Raw genomic sequence first — 13,638 nt, forward strand, 5'->3', positions numbered from 1 at the left:
TTTGTTTTTTACAAATAATGATCATTTTAAACTTTAGATTAACTGAAAAAACAAACAAAAACTGTTCATTTTGGGTAGAATTCACAGCACTTTAGGCAAAGTCAGGAGTAAGGGACAAATTATTTCAAAATGTTCCATTGTGGACTTTGTAATGTCTATTTTTCTCTTTCAGAAATATGATTCTGTCATTTAAAGTGCTTTTTAAAGAAATTATATTTTTTCTACTTCTATTGCAGTTGAGAGCATTCATTTGAACAACTTTGGGGCAATTAGATGTAAACAGAATTTATGCCTGCGAAGCTCTTTAAATGAGGAGACACAGGTGGTATAAACTTTTGTCATTTACTCTATTTCTTCTTACCTAAAATTGAGATTTGATGCCATAGGTGAAACAACCTGCCAGTTACCATGAAGCATTGAGTGTGAACTTAAAACTGTACGCTCAGATAGCTAAATGGAAAGATAGGAAAAGCCAGTATTCCCAAAGATAATTTAGTGCTGCTATTCCAGACCCCATATGAAAACCTCTAGACTTCTTATATGTAAATAACAAAATAACTGGGTTAAAACTGTCATTTCTATTCACTCAAGACATACTTAGTCTTATCTGATAAACCAGATTCTACCACCACCACCACAACAAAAACAAGAATATTAAAACTGATTCTGGCTACTCTGTGCACACTGCCTGTGGGGTAGCCCTGCTCTGCAAGGAAAAATTAAAAACAAACAAACAAACAAAAAACAGCTATATGCTTCTAATGCCAGAAGAGGTAAGTAGAGGAAAAAGAGAGTGAAAAAATCCCCAAGACTGAAGGAAAACAGGAAGGATGCTGCCTGATGTGAAATGCAAGGAAATCAAGATAGTAGAAAAAAATAAACAATCTTCACAATGATACAGAAGTATATATATATATATATGTATATATATATATGTATATGTATATATATATGTATATATATGTATATGTATATATATATGTATATGTATATGTATATATATATGTATATGTATATATATATATGTATATATATATGTATATGTGTATATATATATATATATACATATTTAGCCGCATAAGCCACCTTACATGAGCTTTTCAAATACCTACAGAAACACAAATGGATAAAGGAAACTCAGGCATAATTAAAAATGAAAATAGAAATCTTTGAGTATTATACAAAAAGACAAGAAGAGATAAAGCTTTTTTAACAGGACAGTTATCAACTGCCCTATTTATATGTCTCAAAATTTCTGAAAGAACTGTGGCTGAAAAATTTATTCATTCAAATTGATATGATATTGTTGAATAACTCCATGGTCAGGTTCTGCCTAAATAAGGACAAGCAGATACTATTATTTGTCAATGAATAATTTTCAACACAATAAACATGGGTCTTCCAGCCTGAAGTGAATATGAATGGTAAATGATTTTATGAGCAAATACAGATTAACAAGTATTATGTTTTTGTTGAATGGTGCCTTTCTTATTTCAAATTTGATAGAGAATTAAGATGTGGAAATAAAACAATTATTTTTATCTGGTTGCATTCTCAAATATGGGTACTAATAGAGACTGACTCTCTAAATATTAATAATATTGTGAATGATTTTAAAATGCTAATAAATCTGATCTGATTTTGTCATATTTGAAAACTTAAGGTAGGCTAAATTAATCTTATTTTTTAGTCAACTTTAAGCTCACATAGTAAAAATGTTAGTCATTGTTACAAAAGATCATTGTGACAGAGGCCTTTTCAAGTTTTATTTATGTAAGAGCTACAAATCTTGTGATCACTTCAGAAAGTGCAAAGAAATCTTTTGATTTACTCCATTTTGGTTCTATATCACAGTAAAATATCCAAATATCTTGAAGTGCTTTGACTGGTTTTTTGTACCCCATTCTTAATTAAATCAGGCAAAGGGAGCATATGAAGTGTATAACATATACTTAGAAAATAAATAGCTCCAGAAAGTTTATTTATCATGGTGACATAATAAGGTACATTATATATTATTGCAAAAAACTTTTAATATTGTTTATGTCAGGAATGCAGTTCAAGAGAATTCAAAACTGTATTTTTCTATGGTGTTTACAGAACAATCTTTTTTGAAAGACAAAGTAATTTGAAAGCTTTAATTCTAATATCTCAAAAATGTGCTAGCATATATTGTTAAAAAGTTTTTTGTAAATGACAAGCCAGTTGACATGGCGAATAGTGCTACTGATGCAGAAATAATTGTCTTGAATATTGAAAAGTTAGAGGACTAAAAGAACAACACATTAAAATAAATTTTAAGAAGTCTAGTGAAAGCTGACAAATACTTTTAGAAAACTGTTAGTAGAAACTAAGTTATTTGACTCTTAGAAGTTTTTTACTGATAGCTGAGACTAAGAACTGAGAGACAAGAACTTGATTTCTTGTGATATCTCAAAATCCTGAATTTCCCTATATGCAAAAAACCTGACCATGATTCAGAGAAACATGTGCCTTTTTATATAGCAGGTTATTTAATATTCAAATGTTACTACTCTCATATTTTAACATCTGGAGAAAAATGAAATAGATATCATCCTTGTCTGAAAAATCCAAACTCTATTTTACAATTACAAATATAGACATATGCAAAATATCTAAATGATTCTCAAAAGTCGTTTGACAAAAGTGAAAAAAAGTTAAGTAAAACAGTAAAGTTTAGAATATGAGTCAATTGACAATGTGTGTGACCTATGCAAATAGATGATCTGTTGAGCTTTGTATAAGATAGACTTTCCCAAGCTACATAAATATGGTTTAATGCTTTTTCCAGAGAATTGCATTTTAGGCAATATGAATGTATCTTGAAATAAAAGACATTAAGACATAGTCTTCATTTTAATGGAAATAGTCAACGTATGTTGAAACAGGTTCATATTGAAACTAAATGATCTAAAAATAATTGATAGTAATTTGTTTAGTTTATATTTACATTGACCGTATTTCTGCTCTGAGAACTGGCACAGTTTTCGACATATAACAGATAGCAGTGAAACCCATGCAAGCACTATTTTCTTGAGAAACCAATGTTAAATCCACATACAATATTATCTACTATCCTAATAATTATGTTGTCCTAATTGTCAGAGATATGAAATCAGAAAGGGAGCTCTGGACAATTTCTACAATGATAGATTAGGAACTTTAAATTTAGAGTTCCAATATTTCATTTCACAACTTTCCTGGACAGAAATTTGAAACCAAGTAAATAAAACATGATCAGTTAATGCAGAATACTGTTAAAATCTGTCAGTGAACCATGGCTCTCCGTTGCCATCATTTGGAATCAATGAGCAATTTAAGTGGACAAATATCACAAGAATAGAGGAATCAACCTAAAGGTAACATTTTGGCTACTTTAGGCTATTTTAAAGGAAATTAAGAGTTGCAAACCTCACTTAAAGGACATGTCTCTTCCTTGGCAAGGCAAAGAAAAGGATGCCAGAGAAAAATGAAAAAAAAAAATGGAAAGGAACAAAATTGGTGTCATAGTTTATTTGGTCCAGAAACGACAGACAAGGAAATCCATGTCAGTTGCTTAATAAAAATTAGGTTTAGGATTGTATGGAGTAACTTGAAAAGACTGGCTGCCACCCCTCTAGAAACATAATTAAATGTTATTCGTATCCTAGTCCTTCCAATAGTGAAGTAGGCAGAAACGAGTAAATATGTTTCATATGAATTAATCTGGACATCATTTGCAAGTTATTGTTATTACTATAGACTTTTAGCTTTTAGTGCTAAAGAGTAGGTAACAATCCTAAGAGCACAGTACTAATGTGAGTCAAGATTTGTTTTATTCCTAAGACTGTGCCCTTAACTACTGCACAGCATGGCCTTTCCAGAATGAAGATTTAGAGCCAGGAGAGTTTAGAGATAGGATGATCCTCCCTGGTAAGAGACAGGAAAAACCAAGCGGACAAAAGAAAGAGAGCAATCTCCCTTGCTTAGGGCAGAGGCATGCTCTGCTCATCTCTCTTCTCACATGTTTTAGTACTCTGGTTGTTATATTAAGATAAACTAAAATAAAGATAAGAAAGAGGAAAGAAGATAATAAAAAATTAAAAACTAAAATGAAAAATAGATAACATAAAAAGGAAATAATTAAAACAAAGCCTAAGGTGATAAGAAGAAACTAAGTAAATAAGTAATATAAGAACAAAGTAAACATGAGATAAAAGAAAAGTCTTATGAAAGAGTAAGAAAAGATAAATCAACTAAGAACAATTAACTGTGAGACTGTAAAACAAAAGGACTAAAAGATTAAAAGAAAAAGATAAATATGCAAAAACATTTTAAATGAACTCAAATAATAAAACGAGAATAAACTAGGGCATAAAGTGCTAACTAGAATAAAAGAAAGAAAATACACAGCACTACAAGTTCCAAAGTTTAACACACGCACGCATTTGTGTGCTGAGAGGTAAATCCCTAAATGTGCTAAGCAGATTCCACACACAATTGTTCTCCAGAAGTGGAAGGGCCCTACAGTGTCTTCTTTGGCCTAGAGTCCTCTGGCAAGTAGGAGGAGATACCATGACCATTGTATCATTATATTCATCTTTGGCCTTACTCTCCAGCCCAGGCTATGCTGAGAGATGTTTGCCAGACCTTAAATTGCTTCTGCAGAGTTTCCTGCTGGGTACCCACAGGCAGACAAATCTGTTTCCCTTGGGGTACTCTCTTCCAGTCAAGAGCTAGTTTCTTGCCTGGAGGATTTAGCATAATACCATTTAAGAGTTTATTCAAGAAAGTAAAAATGCTGGCTCTCTAAGCTTTAAAATGTTTTTCAAAATGCACAGGTCTTTTGGTGGGGCTTATTAATAATCCTCATTGTTAAATCAATCATTTCCAGAAAAGATAGCCTATGAAACTATACATTTACATATGTTGTCCTTTATACAGAAGAAAAATAAATAATGATATAGTATTACAATATAGCGATATATTAATTGAAGTGTTCTTTTCTCTCCAACACTAATCCCTTTATCTATCACCTCTCATTTTTTTCAGGAGTCATGAAGCCAGTGGGAGTTATCAGAAAGGGATCTGAGAATGTTTGTGAGAAGTACTTTACTGAGTTAAAATGTTACGGATCTAGATTTAAGTCTGATATATTTAAGAAATAAACCAAATAGTGACAAAATCTTAGGATGATTACTGCTCTCTTTTTTTTATTATATTAAAACCCATTTATGCCTCATGATTTATTATTGGGAGGCTAAGCTTGTGGGGGTTACTTATATTCTCCTGCTCAAGATCATCACAAAGGTCTGATTTTTCACGAAAAGAAAATTGCAGCCTCAGGCATAAATGGGTTAAGATCCACCAAACTGAGAAAGAGAGAGATTGGGAATAGAGGAAACAGGAGCATTAAATACTACAGGGGACACTGCACCTTCCTCCAACTTCCTAGAACTAAGTTTTGATAAAAAGGACTTTGACTTTTAAGGAATGACAGTGGACAGTTCCCATGCTTTAAACACTGGATGAAGTACAAGACGCCAGAAAGTTTAAAAGACTCGGCATCATTATGCGGTGGTTGCAGAATAGAGCAGTTGTGTTATATGCCTAAACCCAAGAGCACTGCAGACATTTTCCTAACTCTCTCATGGAATTTTTGCTAGATGGTATGGCATCAGAATGCACAGGCCAGCAAAAAAAGCCTATGGCTAAGATGAGGGGGTGTCAAATTAGACATCCTTTTTTTGTCCAATACAGCCAGGAGGTGAGTAAAAATGGAGCAGACTTTCAGAAAGTCATACCAAGGAACAGATTCAATAAACAAGTTAGTGCCCACATATTAACCAATAGTCATTCACTGCATCACCTTGCATCATTGTGCAGAGAACGAGACAGGTTGACTTAAATGTGGAGTGAAAGGAAGCCTCCAGCATGGGATACATCATCTCCCTCTTGAAAATATGATACTTGAAATTGGGTTCTAAAGATATCCAAGAGCTTTGTGGAACGTCAAAGATAATTCAACTTTATTAGTACTGGAATGCCCTAGTTGGCTTAAGGAGCTCCTTGATGCTTTTGTCTGCCTAGATATGGAATGAATTTGTTACATCTCCATTTGAACTTATTATCTTGCAACATGCATTTTTACTGTTCTGCCTTATCTATATGTCTGCTATCTTCTCATTCATTTATTTATTGTTTCTTCCCTTGGATATGTTTGTACATTCTGGAGCAGGGAAACAGGATAAGAAATTGTGGTGTGTAGAAAAAAGTCATTAAAACACCATTTAGGGAAACTTTACTGAAAAATATCAACCATAATCCTGACAGGCTAGCACAAATGACATAAGATTGTTATTTTTAATAATTATATTTACAATCCCACCATGTAATTATCCACTGAAATATCCACAATAAGCCTTGGAGAGTGAAAGTTTTCTATTTCAACCATGAATCCTAGTGGTTATGTCTTTAACAGTAAATTTTGTATTCTTCTTTGTTAAATATTAATGTTCTTTGAAATATATAAATATTTTAAGCTGCTAAGAGAAAAATAATCAAAGAAAATATTTTTACCTTTAATGAACTGCTTATAGATTTCTTTTTTTTTCTTTTTCTTTCTTTATATATTTTTTGAGATGGAGTATCCCTCTGTCTCCCAGTGGCGCAATCTCGGCTCACTGCAATCACTGACTCCTGGATTCAAGCAATTCTCTGCCTCAGACTCCTGAGTAGCTGGGATTACAGGTATGCCCCACCATGCCTGGCTAACTTTTGTATTTTTAGTAGAGATGGGGTTTCACCATGTTCACCAGTGGTCTCGAACTCCTGGCCTCAAGTGATCCGCCCGCCTAGGCCTCCCAAAGTGCTGGGATTACAAGAGTGGGCCACCGCATGCAGCCGAACTGCTCATAGTTTTATTGCATCTTTCAGTTTTCAAAAGTGAGATTAAAGAAGAGTTATTTCAGAAATTTAATTTCTCATTGCTGTGATAAATGTAGCATTACATTAGACAGATTGGGATAATGAGTTACAGAAGAAACAAAAACCCACCACCTTGAGGTCCACACCATGTAGCAATGCCACAAACAACAAAAACTCAATCTTTGCTTGAAATCACCTCAAGAGGAGTATTTGGGTTTATATTCCCTAACAAGGTTATTGCTTGAGGAACACAAAGATATAATTTATAAACCAATTATTCGATAGAACATTTTCCATACATTCTCTAGATTGGGAATCAGAGGTGAGGAAAAAAACGGTGTTTCCCCCCTGCACCCCCCACCCCATGGCTATTTCATCCAGTGGAGAAACCATACTAACATGGTCATGCTAATATAACATACAACAAGGGAGTGCTTCAGATCACTGAAAACCTTCTACCATGAAGTCCACGTGGCTCCAACTTACTTGTTCTCTGGTTCAAGCTACTGCTGAACTTGCTTCACCTTCCAACACCAATTAAATGCAAGATAATAGATCATCTGGTCTTAAACAAAAGCATTTGGGTCTTTTTTATAAGACAGAGCTGTGCCCTGGATAGTGTTAGGCTCAAAGACAGGCACGTCCTTATCTAATGATTAATGGGACTTAAATTACATTACTGGTTTCCTTGTTAATTTCTGATATGGGCACCATTGGTATAATTGGTATATTATGAACTCTCATTTCAGTACTAATTTCTACTTTCTGATGGCTTTTCTTCATTTCTCCTGTGAAATGTTTTTCACTATAAAATTTGGAACCATATTTCATGATTGATAACTTACCGCATATCATCAAGTACTTCTTCAAATGTTTCCTCTTTTTCTCAGTCTTAAGTATTTCCCACAAGGATATTTCCTTCCCCTGTACCATATTGAAAATAGAACGCTACTTTATTTATAATTCAATTATCTCGGAATCAGAAGATATAAACGATTAATGCTATTGAACACTTTTTCACGTACTCATCAGTCTTTTGTACAAATACATTGATTTTTAAGTTGGTGTCTTAAAATCTAAAGTTCTTCCACAAAAACAATGTATCATTTTCTTCCTTGTATTTCTCATGGTAGTCTGTGAAATGCTTTTCTGAAGTAAATATAAAATATATTACTGAGCCCTCTTACATCCTGAAAGTTTCTTAAATCTGTCCACATCCCTCCATCTGTGTTCCACTAGCTTTGCCAACACCACCTTCATATTTGGTCTTGTCTATAACAATAGCCTGTTAATTGCTTCCCTCTGTTAAATGTAGCTCTCTTATAAACCATTCCTTAAACTGTAACCAGCTGAATCTTTTCAATATTTTACTGTAATTATGCCACTTTTTTAAAAGAACTTCCTCTTCCTTATAGAAGAAAACACTTCACATAAGCCTCCAGGCCTCCTGTTCTATAAAATGTCTTGTCTCCAGCTTCATACTGAAGCTGTCCAACTTCTCTATACATAGAAAAGTCATTACCTATCCTGACTTCCTGTTTCTTCCTGTTACTTACTACAGTCTCTCCTTTTATATACTCATTCTGGAATTATTTTTCTCTACATCCTTTTTCTTAACAAGTAGTAAACTATAAACTCTTCTTTTATACTTAAATTTAATCACCATTTCTCAAGAAGAAAATTTTCTAAAATCTCCATCAGGTTCCTCATTGACACATTTTCAAAGTGCATATCCTATATGCATGTAGTGTAATTCTTCAATTTATCTACCCCAATTAGAATATAAATCCAATGAGGGCAGGGATTTCATTACCTTTTCTTGCATTCCATTATACTGTAGCACATGGCACAGAATTCTGCAAATAAAACTATTCAATATCTATATTTAAGAAAATTAGTGAAGGAAAGAATAAATCTGATACACATGAATAATAATTACTTTTTTCAGTAGTAACATTGGATTTTTTTTTCTGAGCAGTTGACCTCTTCATTATATTTAAATATGTATTAAATCAATGAATGTTCAAAAATGTATGAAAATAAATCACTTATTTATCATAGTTGTGTCCATTTAGAAGTTAGTACTTTCAAAGACTAGCAACAATAAGATTTCTATAACAGTAGATTAATAAAATATCTACTGTTATAGAAATAGAGTTCATTTCATAGAACTTGATTAATAGAGTCCATTCTTCTAATGAGATAAGGTGAGAGTAATTTGAAAAATACTGTGAAACTAATAATAATTATATGCATTTGTGATCATTTTTAATGGAAAAATAAGCAATCAAACTATTAACTGCATTAAAAAGTTTGGAGCCTTGCTAATTATTATTTCTCAGATGTAAAATTTTGTATTTCTCATTTAAATAACATCCATTTTGTTTATTTGATTGTAATTCATGTCGTATCTAAGTAAAATTTTAAAAACACTGAATTGTCTTATACACCAAATATTTTCTTTCAGGCTCTACTAGAAGTCTAACAAAAATATATCAAGAAAACATTCTTACAAAGCTGGTACATTCAGAAAAAATATAGTCTAAAATAAATTTATTTAATTTGCTCACTGAAGAAGGGAACTCATGTACTTTGCAATTACAGAGATATACTTAATAGTTGGGAAATCTTTATTCAGCAATGGTAACTCTCTAAGCATAGTTTACTCATTCATTAAATACACACACACACATATACACACACACACACACATATACACACAAACACACACACACACGCAAGATGCCTAACTCACAGTGTTATTGTAAATGTTAAAGGAAATGACTGCGTGAAGTTTCTATAATACTATGCGGCATTTGAGCAAAAAATAAAAATAAAACTTTTTCCCCAAACTCCTACTTATTTTATACCATATTTTATAACACTGTATTTTGTTTGTTTGACATTTGATCCTATACTACTTGGATGATCTAATTATGGGAATAGCTGGGAATGGAGTAGACTGTCTCTGAACTGGCAAGAAGTAAAATGCAAAATGTTTTTGAAGAATTATTCTTGCATCTGTTCTTAAATTGTGTTCCACTTTTGACATTAAGTTCAGAGCTAGAAAAAAGACAACAAACAATTCAATCTGTCAGTAAGGTACTTTTTATTTGCCTGGAGCGTCTGAGTAATATAGCACTCAAAATGCAAGCTAAGAAAGAAGTGCTGAGGAAAGTGCTTCTGAAACAAGACAATTCTAACAATAGCTATTTAGAACTTTAAAAATTTATCTGAAAAACCTAATGAAGAGAAATAAGGTAATACCTTGATTCCAAGATCCCCTGACTGGGTGGTGGCAGATTTTGTTCTTGTATAGAAATATATGTTCTCTCAAGGAAAAAGAAGAAGAAACAATAAAACTATAAGTAGAAGACATGTTACAGAGTGTTGAATGTCCTGGGCCCCAAACTAATAGATGAATATGCTATGAATGTGTGACTTTAGAGTTTTCAATTTTAACAAAAATGAAAAACAGAAGGCTTTGTTCATTAGTGTTGGTTCTATTGTCTACTAGTTACTTTTTCTTTCTTTTTGAGAAACATCCTCTTTTATGATGCACCTCAAAGTTAAAATCTTGACATTAACATCATTTTAAATAAATCAGCAAAATTAAAATCACTTCTTCTGAGTAAATATATCTTCACAATAATCAGTTGATTCGTCAAATTTCACAGAAAATCCATTCTGGAGCAGTCTCTCACAAAGATGATTCAAAATTGGGAAACCTTTTTACTGTGGTCATTTGGATGTCTATTTTGAAATCAAAATCTGTGCCTTAAACTCATATCCCGAAGCATGAATGAATTTCATTCTGTCAACTTTATGTTTTCAAAGTCAACCATTTTTCTATCATCTGAATAACTTTTTAAATTAAGATTTTACCTCACTTTCAGCTTTATTTCAAAAATTATTTTCATTTAGCTTTAATATAGTAGAAGATATGCTATAGGTGCTGAAAACATGCAAGTTAACTGAAAGCCTTGGGTCCTGCTCTTACACATTGTAAATAAATATTGGTTACAGTTATATTTGTTGTGAAAAAAGAACTTGCAAAACAATTTTTGAATTATCAGACCTATATTCTAAAATTAGGTGCAATATCCTTCCACACTGGAATTTCCTAAAAAAATATGGGAAGGGAAAAATCTATTTGTGATTATTAAATTACTAGCCCTCCTGAAATGAAGCACAGGGAATATGAGGAAAAATTTGAAGGAGGATTTTTATGGTATAAGCTGTGTTGTATGTCCTCCAACCCCTACCCTGAAGGAAGGGTTCTAGGACTATATACTAGCTCCTAATTCCAAACCGAGAAAAAGAAGGTTGGATGAAACATTTTTCCCAGCCAAAAGAACAATATGTGGATTACATGCAAAAGAGGGCTGCCCTGGAATCATCTTAGCTTATGTTCAAGAGGGCACCCTGGAGGAATAGAGCTCAGAAGAATGAATATAAGGTATCACAACACGTCTACAGGAGAACAAAGGAGTTCTCATCTTGGGAACTATTGATGAAAGATTCAAAGAGAGGCAAATCTCGAAATAACCCACAAATGTGTTCATGGCAAAAACAACTTTCAGTATCTGCCAATTCCAGTTAGTATCGTAGTTCTACTGAAATCAAAAAATTGATGTCTCTGTTTGCAGTTCTTCTCCCCCATCTGAGAATGGTCAGAATTATGGTTAACAAAAAGGAGGAAGAAAAAGCTTGCAGTGAAAGAAACACAGGAAAAATTGACTGTACCTCTCTCTGCAACTGTTGATTTCTCCCTGGAATAAGAGTTAGCTGTGGGAAGAGAGAAACTTCACATTAATAGAAGCTTTGAATATTTAAATTACATAATTAAAACTGAATTTTGCTAATTTAAAGTAGCCATATGGCCTATTATTACCTAAGAATAATACCTAGGAAATTATGACAGTTGTTCTAGATTTCCTCTAAAGTCATGGTAAAGAATTTTTTTAATTTATTTTTTTCTTTAGAGAATGAAAATAGATTTATGACTGAATAAGAATTAAATCAGAATGGGATGCACATCACATGCAATTTGCTGAGACTGCAAAGATAGAAAGAAATCTCACCCTTTTATATAGCCAAACAGATATAACCCATTATACACAAGTTCTCGAGATATACCATAACTAGTCTTCAAGTAACAGGGCTTGGCAGAACCATTTATTACACATAATGCATCTTAAATTTACCTGGAAATTGAGGATGATAATCTGTATTAGCTGAAGGGTTTTATACAAAGGAAAAATAAACTTCTCCTGTCTTTATGACATAGGTAATTTTATAACTGGAAGCAAGTCATCCATCAAAGATGGGCTTCTACACTCACACAGAAACTGGGATGTAGGGGCACTATCTTACTTGATGTTTGTTAACATTTCAAAGAAATGGCTCCTAGGTCCTTCAGAAAGACATTTCTGGGTCTTAAAACTGGCATGGGCCAGGCACAGTGGCTCATGGCTGCAATCCCAGCACATCGTGAAGCTGAGATACAAGGATCAACCATAGACAGGAGTTTTGAGACCAACCTGGGCAAAACAGCAAAACTCTGTCTTTACACACACACACGCACACACACACACACAATTAGTCAGGCATGGTGGCTCACACCTGTAGTCCCAGCTACTAAGGACGCTGAGGTGGGAGGATCACTTGAACCGAGGAGTTTGAGGTTGCAGTGAACCATGATTATCCCACCATACTCCAGCCTAGGCAATAGAGTGAGACTTTGTCTCTCTAAATGATAATACAAACAATAATAATAATAAAGCTGGCAAGGTACAGATAGGCAAACTTTCCATATTCCATGTTCTCACTCATTTGTGGCATCTCAAACAGTTGAACTCATGGAGAGAGACAGTAGAATGACGGTTATCAGAGGCTGGGAAGGATAGCTAGGGAGCAGCGGATGGAGATTGTTAATGGGTATAAGATCTAGTATCTGATAGTGCAAAAGGGTGACTACAGTCAGTAATAGTTTTTTGTACACTTTAAAAATAACTAAAAGAGTGTAGTTGTAATGTTTGTAACACAAAAAAATGATATATATGCTTGGAGAGACGGATATCCCATTTACCCTTATGTGGTTCTCACACATTATATGTCTGTATCAGAATATCTAATGTAGCCCCTAAATATCTATACCTATTGTGTACCCATGCAAATGGAAAATAAAAAACTTTAAAATAAAATAAAGCTTGCAAGGGCCTTATTAAGATTCTTAAAATATTATACATACTACAAAGAGACAGATAAAGAACTTACAAGTTTTCTAAAGTAAACACTCTAAGAAAAGGTTGAGGGAGACGTCTCTTCTTTTATTTTTTAAAAAATTCAACTTTTATTTTAGATTCAAGGGGTACATTTAGATCAAGGGGTGCATTGATTTTATTTTAGAATAAAGGGGTATTTAGATTCAAGGGGTACCCAGGTTTGTTTCCTGGGTAGAGTGTGTGATGCTGAGGCTTGGGATAGGGTTGATCCTGTCACCCAGGAACTGAGCACAGTACCCAGTAGTTACATTTGAACCCTTGACACCCTTCCTCCCCTAACCTAGTAGTCCCCAGTTTGTATTGTTACCATCTTTATGTCCATGAGTACCAAACACAGGGTAAAGAAATTGCTCTACAGAACTGATTTAAAGTGACAGTGAATATAAAAATATATGTATGTTATTAAAATTTTCAGGATTTTATT

General features: G+C 33.3%; 1 long non-coding RNA gene across 1 annotated transcript; it reads left to right on the top strand.

Annotated features, from left to right (window-relative positions):
• Window positions 1-244: 244 nt before the first annotated feature.
• LOC124900864 (uncharacterized) lies at window positions 245-5,185 on the top strand. The gene is made up of 2 exons (XR_007058482.1): window positions 245-322; window positions 5,053-5,185. It is a non-coding gene; the product is annotated as an uncharacterized LOC124900864 (long non-coding RNA).
• The last annotated feature ends 8,453 nt before the right edge of the window (window positions 5,186-13,638 follow it).

Source organism: Homo sapiens, chromosome 4 (assembly GCF_000001405.40).
Source record: "Homo sapiens chromosome 4, GRCh38.p14 Primary Assembly".
NCBI lineage: Eukaryota > Metazoa > Chordata > Mammalia > Primates > Hominidae > Homo > Homo sapiens.